This window comes from Homo sapiens, chromosome 17, assembly GCF_000001405.40.
Source record: "Homo sapiens chromosome 17, GRCh38.p14 Primary Assembly".
In the NCBI taxonomy this organism is placed as follows: domain Eukaryota; kingdom Metazoa; phylum Chordata; class Mammalia; order Primates; family Hominidae; genus Homo; species Homo sapiens.
In genome coordinates, this window is record NC_000017.11 from 55,265,752 (window position 1) to 55,278,374 (window position 12,623).

The 12,623-nt window shown below is 44.6% G+C and overlaps 1 protein-coding gene across 5 annotated transcripts in view; it reads left to right on the forward strand.

Annotated features, from left to right (window-relative positions):
- HLF (HLF transcription factor, PAR bZIP family member) overlaps window positions 1–12,623 on the forward strand; it is a 60,228-nt gene that overhangs the window by 792 nt on the left and 46,813 nt on the right. For 3 of the 5 annotated variants that reach the window (XR_002957996.2, NM_002126.5, XM_005257269.3), the window contains exon 2: window positions 2,000–2,335. Coding sequence is in view for 4 of the 5 variants with exons in the window: in NM_002126.5 (NP_002117.1) it covers window positions 2,000–2,335 (336 nt within the window). In the remaining variant the exon portion in view is untranslated. Of the gene's footprint in view, window positions 1–92; window positions 136–470; window positions 565–1,024; window positions 1,105–1,999; window positions 2,336–12,623 lie in introns of those variants that run through there. The other 2 variants (XM_047435895.1, NM_001330375.2) reach the window with 2 other exon arrangements.

Sequence of the window (12,623 nt, forward strand, 5' to 3'; positions counted from 1 at the left end):
CAGCACCCTTCCTCCCCTTCCTCCTCCTCCATGAAAGGGGAGGGACCCCTCCTGAGCTACATTTAAAAGAGCTTCGGGCACCCGGCCTCCCTGGGTCCCGCTCCTGCGGCGCGGGTGGGAGGTGTAACTTGACAGGTCAGGATCGTTCCCTAGAACGAGGCACACCCGCACGCAGAGCGAGCCCGCCTGCGGAGGGCAGAGCCTCCCGGGCTGGGGAGGAGAAACCCTGGGGCCTGGTTCTGTGCGGGGCAGGGGGCGGGGGTCGGCTTGAGGGAGGGGGTTTCACTGCGTAGCCTGGGTTTTGGGGTTGTGTTACAGCTTCTGTTACTGGTTAGTATTTGGAACTCACGAGGTGTGAGAGAAGACTCGTTTTCTTCTGGTGAAGGGTAGCTGAGAAAGCGGGGTGGGGGCTGGGGCCGGTGGGGGGAGTGGTCTCTCGGCGGGAAGCCGTGCACGCCTCCAGCGTTGACACTTTCCCGGTGCACTTTTTCTGGTGGGAGGGGAGAGCGGAGCAGGCTCACGTGTAACCGCGCAGGAGCCTCCTCTGGCTTGAGCCCTTTCTTGGTAAGTCCCAAACCTTCCCAAGACAACCTTGGCCTTAGCAGTAGAGGAGGGGTACGTGTGATGAGGCCCCAAACCCGGCTAAGTGATGCCACGGATTTGGGTTGATGCGATTTCATGCCTTCGGTATCACAGTAGCAAATGCGAACCGTGCGGCTCACAGTGTAAAGTTCTGAAAGGTTATTTGGCTACAAATAGCTTGGGAGTACTTGCACCTTCTTTTCTAGGAGAGGACAACCTGTTGCATTGCAAGAGTTTGCAATCTGCAGATGATAGCCAGGGACCCCTCCCTAACTATCCTTTAAGGAAGAGCATTTGGGAGGAAGGGGCTGCCTGCAGGCTTTTGCATCTGTGGGTGTTTTAAGTCAGATTTTCAGATGAGATGGTAGAGGGTTAGAATGGATGGCAGTGGAGGCTGTGTTTCTCTGAAGATGAAACTCAGAAGCAAATTCCTTAATCCCAGATTCCACCCACGACTGAATACTAGAATTGGCAAGATCCGGAATGCTTGTTAAAGACCTAATGGGCGAGCAGTACTTCCAGGTAGCAAATAGCTGCATACTTCCAACATAAATGTATAGAATAACTCACCTTTTCCAATAGCTCTGCTTTTGAAAGGTTTTGTAAATGCATACTCTTTGTAAATTGGATCATACTCAAATGTTTGGAGAAGAGAAGGAAGAAAACACTTTGTATTTTTTTAAACTCCTTTTGTAAAAATCAGTGTGCCCCAGTGGCTTTAGAAGCAAACACATGTGAGCTCAGAAAGTTCTCATTCTCTGCCAACATGAGGCATTGGTCAAGTTCCCTCAAGTCTCAGAGCCTCCGAGTCTTTGTTGTAAATGGAGGTAATTGTTATTTTGCAAGTTTATTGTGAGATTTTTGAGATAATATATGGAAAGAACCAGGTATCCAGTAGGTACTCTAAACATGATGTTAAAGAAGGGTGGAAGGTCCCTGCTTTACCAAAATTAAGACCACTAACTCACTGGCTTTGTAAGTCTGAATGACCTCCTATTGCTGCTGTGATGAATTCCTGGAAGATAATTCAAGCCTGGTTATTGGCTGTTGTTTTCTTAAAAATGACAGCAGTTGTATATAATCACAGATGTTATATTCCTATTTTAGGTTTAAGTTATTACTCTTCTCAAATAATGTGCTGAGACTGTTCTCTGGTTTTTATCCTAGATCAGCCTGTAGCCCTGCCCCAAGGACTAGTGCCTTCTTTCCAAAGTAAATAGGAAGATGTTGAAAAACAGGCAGAGATCCACGTCCTGCCTGAACTTTTAACTCTAGATCTACAAAAGACAGCAGCCAGAGAAGGACCCTGCCATTCGTGAGAAATAGTCTTATAACAGGCCAGGAAAAGTGATAAAAGAGCGGTATTGTTTTTCTTTTCTTTCTTTTTTTTTAAGTCCAGCTTTCCCTTCTTCTGCAGCATTTAGTAAAGATAAAGACAAGGAAAAGAAGCTGGATGATGAGAGTAACAGCCCGACGGTCCCCCAGTCGGCATTCCTGGGGCCTACCTTATGGGACAAAACCCTTCCCTATGACGGAGATACTTTCCAGTTGGAATACATGGACCTGGAGGAGTTTTTGTCAGAAAATGGCATTCCCCCCAGCCCATCTCAGCATGACCACAGCCCTCACCCTCCTGGGCTGCAGCCAGCTTCCTCGGCTGCCCCCTCGGTCATGGACCTCAGCAGCCGGGCCTCTGCACCCCTTCACCCTGGCATCCCATCTCCGAACTGTATGCAGAGCCCCATCAGACCAGGTAAGTGCCCTGAAGATTCTCCCTTCAGAAAGGGAGGAGGAGGGTGAATGGGACAGGCAAGGTAGAGTTAGCATAAACATCTTAACACTCAGGTTTTAGCAAAGATCCTAAGAGAGGTACCTTCTTCTGCTCCACTCCTGGCAGAGGCTCTCCCACTTTAATGAGCATCCATATCACTCATCTGGAGAGTCCGGTAAATACAGACTCTTTGTATCTACCCCTAGAAATTCTGATTTTGCAAGTCTGGAATGAGGGCCCAGGAATATGCATTTTAACCAGCTCCCCCATGGGATTCTAATGCAGCTGATCCAAGGGCTGCAGTTTAAGAAATAACTTACAGTTAATGATTTGGATAATTTAAGCCTCCATCGCATCTTGTATCTCTTTTCCTCATTCCCTAAACACGTAGATAACAGGTAGACTCTCAATAGGGTTTGGTTTACCTATATTCACTCTTGTCTGTCCTGAAGGAAAAAAAATGTGAGTAGGGATATGGGGCAGGTATTTTTTTTTCCATCCTTTTCATCTTGTTTTGTCATTAGCTGAGAAGTAGAATCTAAAAGCAGGCTCTCATATTGTGTTTCTGAGCCTTCTTCAGGACCAGACTCCATCTCTCTCGTTGCTATTCCCATAAACCCAACTGTTCTTATCTTTTTTTTTTTTTCATTTTCATCTGTCTATCACACTCAGTCCACCTGTATCAAAGCCCACAAGGCTGCAAGGTCAGCTGTAAATGATCTTGAAATAGTACACAAAAATATCACCTGAAATGACCAGTACTTCAAAACCCACTGCTAATGCTCAGATATAAACACAGATTGAAGGAGCTTTGAATTCATGCCTTTAGCACCCTGTAGTACCAAATGAACAGGAAGAAAGACGATTTCATGTGCACAGGTAACCAGGAACAAAGATTCAGCCAGATAAATCATCCGGAAGGTCACAGAGCTGAGGGCCTTAGCTGTGGGGGAAGACAGAAAGCAGGACAATGCGAAACTTGTGCTAGAGATTGTTACTGAACTCCGTGTCCTCGACTCTTGTAGAAATTTCTGTGGCACATGGAGCAAGATTTAAATGGAAGGAAATGATGTAAAGGAGGAAGAGAATACCCCTGCCTCGATATATTCATATTGAAGTTCCTCCTTTCAGACCTCTGTGTGCTGGCCCCTTCTCCAAAATTCACTTTGAATTATAACTCAAGGCCACTGGCTGGAATGGAATTAATTCTTAGCCTCCAGCCACCCCTGGAGGCTGTGGGAGCTTGGGAAAACATGCCTTTATGTGATCCTGATCCCCTGCTACTTAGAATGTGCGGTACCACTATCTTCAATTTTTTTGTAGGAACAAGCAACAAAATGAATAACCCTTCAAAGTGGGAAAACAGCCAGGAGAGAAGGGAACAGAGCCCCAGTGAGAGACACAGTTATGCCTCGGTCATTGTGCTCTGTAGACTGAGAATCACCACTTTGTAGCTGTGTGACCTTAGAAAGCAACATCATTTCTTGGAGCCTCAGTTTCCTTTTTTGTAGAAGGATACAATTTCTATTTGATTGAGTTATTGTGAAAATTAGAGATAATACGTATAAAGGGTCAACTGATTAGCAATGAGTCTTCTATTTGTGGAAGCAATTGTGATCATTGTTGTATGTGTCAACTTTTATTACTTATTTCAATCCCTGTCTTCTGAAATATCTTCGTAAGGTAACTAGGTACTGTATATAACCCTTCCTCTGGAGAGAAATGTCAGGAGATTTTGCCCAGTAGTTACTGGATTGGGGTATTTTGACCAACACTTGTAATCAACTGACAAGTATTTCTTAGTCCCCTACCAAATTTAGGATGTGTACCATGTTAGGAATACTATATTTTTTCCCAGGAGACCTGCACATATTGGGTGTTCACACCTTGGTTCCTACTGAGAGTCAAAAATTGGGGTTTTGGGATTTGAAGCAGCTTGAAAACTCATTTGTCAGAGCTCATTAGAGTCAGTATTGATCAGTGACTCTCAGAAGGCTTGGAATGCCCAATCAGAGTTGCAATGCATAGCAAAGAACTCCTGAGTTTCAGGGGATGTCATTTTGTAAGGTTCTGGTGGAAAGACACTGGGATCAAAGGGAACACTGAGGGTCTAGAAATAAGTTCTCCATTTAAATGTCTTATTTTAAATAATGGAAACACACTTCAACATAGTTTCCTTCTTGGAGTTGAAAACTCGATAGTCCTCATAGAAAAGGAAAAAAGTTAAACCTCGTCTTCAAATACCAAACTCAGGTAAAATAACACTCTGCTGTTCATAGATTGTTGATCATTATAAAGATGCAAAATAAAATTCTAAGAGATGTTGGCCTGATGGATGGATATTGCAAGCAAACCTGAAAAAGGAGAAAGTTCTTGATTATTCTGTGTGGCTCACAGGAGTGACCAGAATAGAAGTACCAAGTTAATCTTGAGGAAAATAAGTCCTCAGAAGGGAAGAGCACAGATGTAGCCTTGGTCATTCTGGGAGCTGTATAATTTCAGTCTTGATTGGTGTTTCTCAACCTTGGCACTGTTAATGTTTTGGGTAAATCTTTTTTTTTTTTTTTTTTTTTTGAGACGGAGTCTCGCTCTGTCGCCCAGGCTGGAGTGCAGTGGCGCGATCTCAGCTCACTGCAAGCTCCGCCTCCCGGGTTCACGCCATTCTCCTGTCTCAGCCTCCCGTGTAGCGCCACCACGCCCGGCTAATTTTTGTATTTTTAGTAGAGACGGGGTTTCACCGTTTTAGCCGGGATGGTCTCGATCGCCTGACCTCGTGATCCGCCCGCCTCGGCCTCCCAAAGTGCTGGAATTACAGGCGTGAGCCACCGCGCCCGGCCTTGGGTAAATCTTGTGTCTTACGCTTTATAGGATGCTTAGCAGCATCGCGGCCCCTACCTCCTAGTTGCAAGTAGGACCCCCAGTGCCCCAGATGTGACAAGTAAAAATGTCTTCAGTCACTACCAAATGTCCCCTGGGCATAATACAGTCACTCCCGGTGGAGAACCACTGGTCTAGAACTTCAATTTGGACAGCAAAATCTGGACTTACTTTAGGACCCTGTCACACGCATGGATAAACTACCTGCAATGCTTTATGGCAAAACTTTTAAGAAGGTCAGGGGACATTGGGTTGCCAAGAAGAAATAGAATATTAATAAGAGCATAATTATACACTTTAGTTAATAAAACTAAGCCATCAGGCTAATCAGGAGATAATTGCAGAGTAGTTTACCAAACAATTGTTTTTGGCTATTCACTCAGCATGCATCTTTTGAGCTATGCTCCGTTGTGGTGTTAGTGCTTCTTGTTTGGTTGAAGGGCAATGAAACCATGAGCTGATAAAGTATGCATTTCTAGGTCTACCCCAAGGATGTCTTGGAATGACAAGGTGAGCATTCTTGTGAATATTTATTTATTTATTTACTTATTTGTTTATTTATTTTTGAGATGGAGTCTAGCTCCATCACCCAGGCTGGAGTGCAGTGACACAATCTTGGCTCGCTGCAACCTCCACCTCCGGGGTCCAAGCTATTTTCCTGCTTCAGCCTCTCTAGTAGCTGGGATTACAGGCATTCACCACCATGCCCGGCTAATTTTTGTATTTTTAGTAGAGACGGGGTTTCACCATGTTGGCCAGGCTGGTCTCAAACTCTTGACCTCAAGTGATCCGCACCCCCTCGGCCTCCCAAAGTGCTGGGATTACAGGCGTGAGCCACCACAACCTGGCCCATTTTTGTGAATTCTCATACTATTTACCATGACTGCCCCAACCCCTTTCTTATCTTGAGCACCCCATCCCTATTCCTCTAACTGTCTGATCAAAGAATGAATCAAATATCTGAAGAAATCCAGTTTTCTTTCAAGAAACAATCCAGGGATTCATTAAAACCTGTTGTGGCTATTGTGGGATCACCAAGCTTTCTGGGCTGACATCTTAATGAAGGGAAGAGTAGTGGTTCTTGGAGGCCAGAGCTAACTGCAGGGGCTCCTCGGTCATCCAAGGTGCAGTGTCCTGAATGTTCCTAGGCCAGCAGAGATGACAGGAGTCATTCTGATGACTTCAATGTTTGCATTTTAGATACTGTCAGAGGTGGGATGTGGGGGTGCTCTCCTGGAGGGACGAATATGTGCTGGGTACTGGAAAAAGAAGAATCTGTTTGCCATGAGAATTGAGCGATTGCTTTAAGGACAGCCATCCCTTTAGGGAAAGTCATCTATAGCAGACAAAGGCAGAGTTATTTTTATATTACATGCTTGTAAAGCCAGATTTGAAATTATTTCCTCTGGTGGTTTTTCTTTGAATAGCTGGGGGGTGTCCTACCACTGTTAGGCCCATATTCCGCTGAGAATTAAGAAGGCTGTCTTTCTAGTTCTGAGCACGGAGACTGGGTTATGATGAAGGCTGGTTACAGAGTAAAGTGAAAACCCTTCCATGTGGTTGTGTGTGGGAAAAGGATGGCATAAGTGGGTGGCACAAAAGGAGCGGGGGTGGGGGAGAACCCATTGTACCTTTGCAATATGGAGTTTGTATTCTGTTTCTGCCGACCTTCCTTGTGAGAAGGTTTGGGTATGGAAGGAAAACGCTGGCCTGGGAATCTGAGTAATGATGGAGGGAAGTTCTGTGCAGGTGATTCTGGGTTTATGGAAGGTCAGAGGATTCTCTTACTTTTCCCAATATTATGAGGTGAAGCTCCGCTTAAGGGCGTGCAGTTCGTGTATCTTTCCAGTCCAGCAGACTGATAATGTCTGCAGGTTGGGAGCGCCATGACTGATAGTAGCTGTGCCCGGTGTCTCAAGCATCTTGGAAGTGCTGTTCATTCATCAGGGGCTAGGAGATCCTGAAGGGGAGGGAGTCTGCATGGTTCTGGAGACAGGTAGACATTTTTCTGTTTCTTGTAGAGTTTATCTTCTCCACGGATCCCTGTAGAGGACAGGCTTGCTGACATTCACAGGATAGTAGTCCCAAGCCTGTGGCAAAAGGTATTTTTGGGTATGTCTGGAAAGCAAGGCAACTTGGTGGTTAGGATTGTAGGCTCTGGGCTCAGGGGCTTGGGTTTACATCCTGGACCCACCCCTGGCTTGCCGTGTAACTTTGTGTCAATTTCTTAACCCTTTAAGCCTCAGTTTACTCGTCAATACAATGGAAATTATAAATGGTCCCTCTCCCTTGGGGTTTTGGCAGGGTTAAATAAGATCGCATGTGACAAGTCTGGCCAGTGTGTATTGCACGAGTACTGGGTGCATTCAGCTGTTATGGTGTCAGTGGCATGAGGTACAGAAAGGAATGACTGGATTCCCAATCCCTGTTTTCTATTTAGGGATTTATTTATCCAGTCCCCTTCCCTCTGCAAAAATAGGACATGCTTTCATGCATTTTTTTTCTTTCCCATCATGTCCAACACTTACAGCCTGACCTTTCTCTTCCTTCTGGGTTGGGACGAATCGGTTCCCTGATGTTAACCCCGCAGCATGGCTTCTGGGTTACCAACTCCTGTTTTGCCAATGTGGAAACAGCCACTGTCTGGGTGCCCAGTCCCCCAGCTCTCGTGTGAGCCCTGGCAACCCTGGCTGCCTGCCTGCATGACCGTGTGCTCCAGGCACGTGGCTGTGCCCTGTGGAGCTTGCCCAACGCTGTGTGGTGTGCTGGCTTGCTTTTTTTTTTTTTTTTCCCTCCTCCCCCTCGCTTCCCTTCCCAGGAGAATGACAGCAAGTGCCAGCAAGCAATTGTAATCCTGACCCTGGCATGAGAAAGCTGAGCTCTGGAGGGCAGTTCAGATGCCAGGGAAACCTGTTCTGTCCAACATTCTAGCCAGACCCCAAACCTGGCCCTCTCTCCTGCCTGTCTGCCCAGAGGCCCTGTCTTCTCTGCACTGCTGCGGTGGGCAGGATTCCTGGAGGCCAGCTCCTGCCAAGGGTCTTGGCAGAGTCTTTCCAGTTCAGCACTGTGCCTACCAGACTAGAAAAATAGCAATATAAAGACAGAATTAGGTGGAGGAGAAGGAAAGGGGGTGGGGGAGGTGGGAAGAAAAAAACCCTTGATAACATCCTAATGTAGAAAGCCAGAGGAGGGGAAGACAGCCGTGATTTATTAGGTTTCTCAGAAACCTCTCTTCCAATTAGCACTAATCACTTTTACCCAGGAATCATTTTTTATGTCTCAGCAATGAAAATGGAGGTAAGAGGGAAGGTAGTAGAGAAAGTAATAAGATGAAAAAAAGTAGAAAATAACATATTAGAGAGGTACAGGGCCTGTGTTTGATTCTGTAATGGGTGTGGGTGAGAATATTGGTCACAGCTAATATTGATTATAGTATTTGGCCCTCCCCCAGCAAATGTCTTGTCCTAAAGCTACTAAACCACTGTTTTTCTATAAATTTAAATTTCCCTCAGACTTAGGTGCCTCTGTCTCACCATGCACAATGTCTGTCAGAATGTCCTGTGTTTGAGACACCAGTCTATACGGGCAATATAGCAGTAATGTTTTTTAGAGCACAGAATTGAATAAACAAAACAGCCTGAGTGTGAATCCTGACTTTGCCACTCATTAGCTGCTCACGATCTCAGGCAAGTCATTTAAATGCTCTGAGCTTTCAGTTTCTCATCCGGAACTTTGGAATAATCATTGGACCTGCCTCATAGGACTGTTGAAGGTCATATGAGCCAATGCATGCAGAGTAATTGTCACAGTGCCTCGCACACAGCAAGTGCTTAATAACAGCTGCTGCAAGCAGCACCTTCACCACCATCTAATCTCATTTCCCATGGGAGGACCAAGCGTGGGGCTCAGAAAGAGTCTTGATACTTTTCCCTTCCTAGCTAATTAAGAACACTGGTCAAGAAATTTGGATTTCTCTCCTGCTTCTCTGCCAAGTCTTGCTTGCCCTTCTCTTAGCCTTTGAATTTTAGGTGACCTTGAGTAGCTAACTGTACCCTTTACTCATTCTTCCTGGCTCATGGGATTAAATAAACAAAATGCATTTTGAAGAAGTTTTTTTGTTTGTTTGTTTTTTGAGACAGGGTCATGCTCTGTGGCCCAGGCTAGAGAGCAGTGGCGCGATCATGGTTCACCACAACCTCAACCTCCCAGGCTCAATAGATCCTCCCACCTCAGCCTCCCAAGTAGCTGGGACTACAGGCATGCACCACCACACCTGGCTAATTTTTGTATTTTCTATAGATACAGGGTTTTGTTATGTTTCCCAGGCTGGTCTTGAGCTCCTGAGCTCAAGCAATCCACCGACCTTGGCCTCCCAAAGTGCTGGGATTACAGGTGGAAACCACTGTGCCCTGCCCAAAGAAGTTCTTGATTAGATTTCTTCCATGTCATATTTGCTAATAGATCAGTCAGTTACTGCTACCATTGAATTTTTAACAATAGACATTAATAATTATATTTAAAGGCAATATAGTGACCTTGGGGGTAAGGAAACCATAAAGGTATGTTATGGTGTTTCAGAAGGAGAAGGTTCAGTTTATCCTCCGGCTTGCAAGCAAGACTTTACATAAGCATTCCAGAATAATAATTCCTCCTCTCCCCAAGGGGTTCTTTAATGAGTAAATCCTTAATCTTTCTGAACCTTGATTGTCTCTTCTGCAAAGCAACATCCTTGTTGGGTTTTTGTGAGCTTTCTAAAGCTACTGTGCAAGAAAGATCCAGCTTGGTGCCCTGTACATAGTAGCCAAGCCTTTACCATAAGTCAGTTCAGTTACTTTTCTCTAAGAAATGATACCATGATTAGAAAACAACAGAGGACTTTGGGAGGCTGATGTGGGAGGATTACTTGAAACCAGGAGTTTGAGAGCAGCCTGGGCAACATAGCAAGACCCATCTCTACAAAATATTTTTTTAAAAATATTAGCTGGATATGGTGGCACGTGCCTGTAGTCTTGGCTACTTGGGAGGCTGAGGCAAGAGGATCGCCTGAGCCCAGGAGTTCGAGGCTGCAGTGAGCCTTGATTGCATCATTACACTCCAGCCTGGGTAACAGAGTGCAACCCTGTATCTAAAATTAAAAATTAAAGAGAAAGCAACAGAGGAGGTTTTAGGAGGCGAAGAGCAAGGTGTATGGTCCCAGAAATAGCATCTGTTTTTGCTCTGTGCTTTGGTGTTTTGATTTGTGCACCCTGAGGAAGAGAGACAAGAGTACAATTTGGCTGCTAGTTTCAAGAGACAGTGATTTAGTAGGGAAGATAAGACTTTTAGGCAAAGTGATGAGTGACAGGACAAACTAGCATGTTCTCAGTGTCAAATGACGGGTATATAGAGGCCTCCAATATCTGCTGAAAAGAGGAGGTTGAAAGATTAATCAAGAAAATGAATATAAATAAGGGAGCAGTATAGCCAATAAGAGCTGCCAGACCTCACAGGAAGAAGCCTTTGCTCAAGGCAAAGGTGCCTGGGGCGAGGCTTCTTGGAAGAGTTGTAGCCTGTGATGGGCCCGGAAGGAGGGGTGAGAGAGCCAGATTGGAGAGGTTAATGCCCCACAAAGTTATAGAGGCAGGAATGCCCACAGGGTGTTTTAGGCAACAGGGTGTAGATCCAATTTGGCTGGTGCAGAAAATTCATATGAAGGAGTCAGGGAGATGAGTCAGAGAGGTTGGTGCCAGTCAGGCTGACAACTTCATGAGTACCAGGCTGCAGAGCTTGAACTTTATCCAGTAGGCAATAGGGAGCCATTGAAGGTTTTTCAGCAGGAAAGTGCATGTGAACATTTCCACTTGAGTTCAAGGTTGGATTTGAAACATTTTTAGAAACTTGACAATAGTTTCCTCTGGCAAGCCAGGATTTCCTTATTTTTATTATTTTGAAAATAAATACTCTCCCTTGAACATCAAACAGCTTTTCAAAACACGATGTTCTAATGATCTAGAGAAAGTAATTCAAAAACACAGGGTTTAGGTTTCATTTATAAAACCCATAATTTTGGTGATTGGGGGAAACACTCTTTGGCAAGGAAATAGTTTGAGGGATTTGACTGGTTCAGAATTTAAAAGTCCAAAAGCAGGCCTGGTCTCATAGGAGTAGAAAAATAGATTTTAATAAACCCAACTCATTAACGTTCATCACTTTTAAATGCCTCTATTTTATACAGCTTACTAGGTTTGCAAATAAGTATATTGAACCAGATGTTATGTGTATGTGTGTGTGTGTGTGTGTGTGTGTGTGTGTGTGCGCGCGCATGTGTACGTGGGCATGCGTGCATTTGGGTTTGTGGGTGGGGGTGGGAAGGTTAATGTCTCAGTGATACAAATAGTACCTGATTGTAAGGATTACCTGGGGCAGTAATATCAAGCTAAAAATACTTAGCCAAGTTTCTGGCTAGCTTAAATCAGTTTTACTCCTGGGAAACAAAGGAGTCATTATTACAGTTTTGCATTCTTGAGTCCTGACCTTGTATTTGTGGCTCCCTTCTTCCCTGAAAACAGAACTGTACATCATGCTTAGATATGGGATGTGTGTGTGTGTGTTTCATATTGGGAGTACTAGTAAAGGAAAGGGACATTGTGGGAGGGGATCGGATTGGGGGGGGTTGGACTGCTGAATGTCAAGTGCATGAAATGACTTGCTCAAGCACCCCCTGAAGTGTGCTCTGATATCAAGCCAAGATTTCAGAAGGCTGAAAGAGTTGCCATAACCCAATCTAGTTCACTTAAATAGAAAATAGCTGTCAAGGTGGGCAATTTCACCTCCAGCTACATAGAGTAGACAATTACAGGAGTGTTGGCAGAATCGAGTGTCTGCTGGGGGAGAAACTATAGTATTTGTTTCTGTTAAATTGGCTTGTGGTGGGTACAGACTCCATGACCGAATGTGGAAATTCCTAAAATGTTGGTTTTCCTTCTTTTCTGACTTTTACAAACTAATGTTACTCTCTTAACTCACTACCCATCCAATCTCATTTTCTTTCCTGAAAAACTACACAGCTCCCCTGTCACACAGGGTTCGTAAAAGTTTCGTTTTTAGAAGTTTAATCTGGGATTTGTTTCCTTAATGATCTTTGGAAGAATGCTTTGGAATTTGAGGTCTTATAATGAGACATGGCTTGTGGCTATTAAACCCTGTTGCCTCTCAAATTTTGCCTGGGAGACCCTAGATTCCTAAAAACAATGAGTGCATGCTACAGAAAGATGCTTCAGGGAGCTACAACACTAAATCATCTGTGACAAAATGTTCTCTTAGAAAGTGGAATTGCATAAATGGATCAGCAGAAATAAATGCTTTGGCAGAAATTCCTTGAGTGGGGAAGAGCAATGCTTTCTTTTCTAATTAG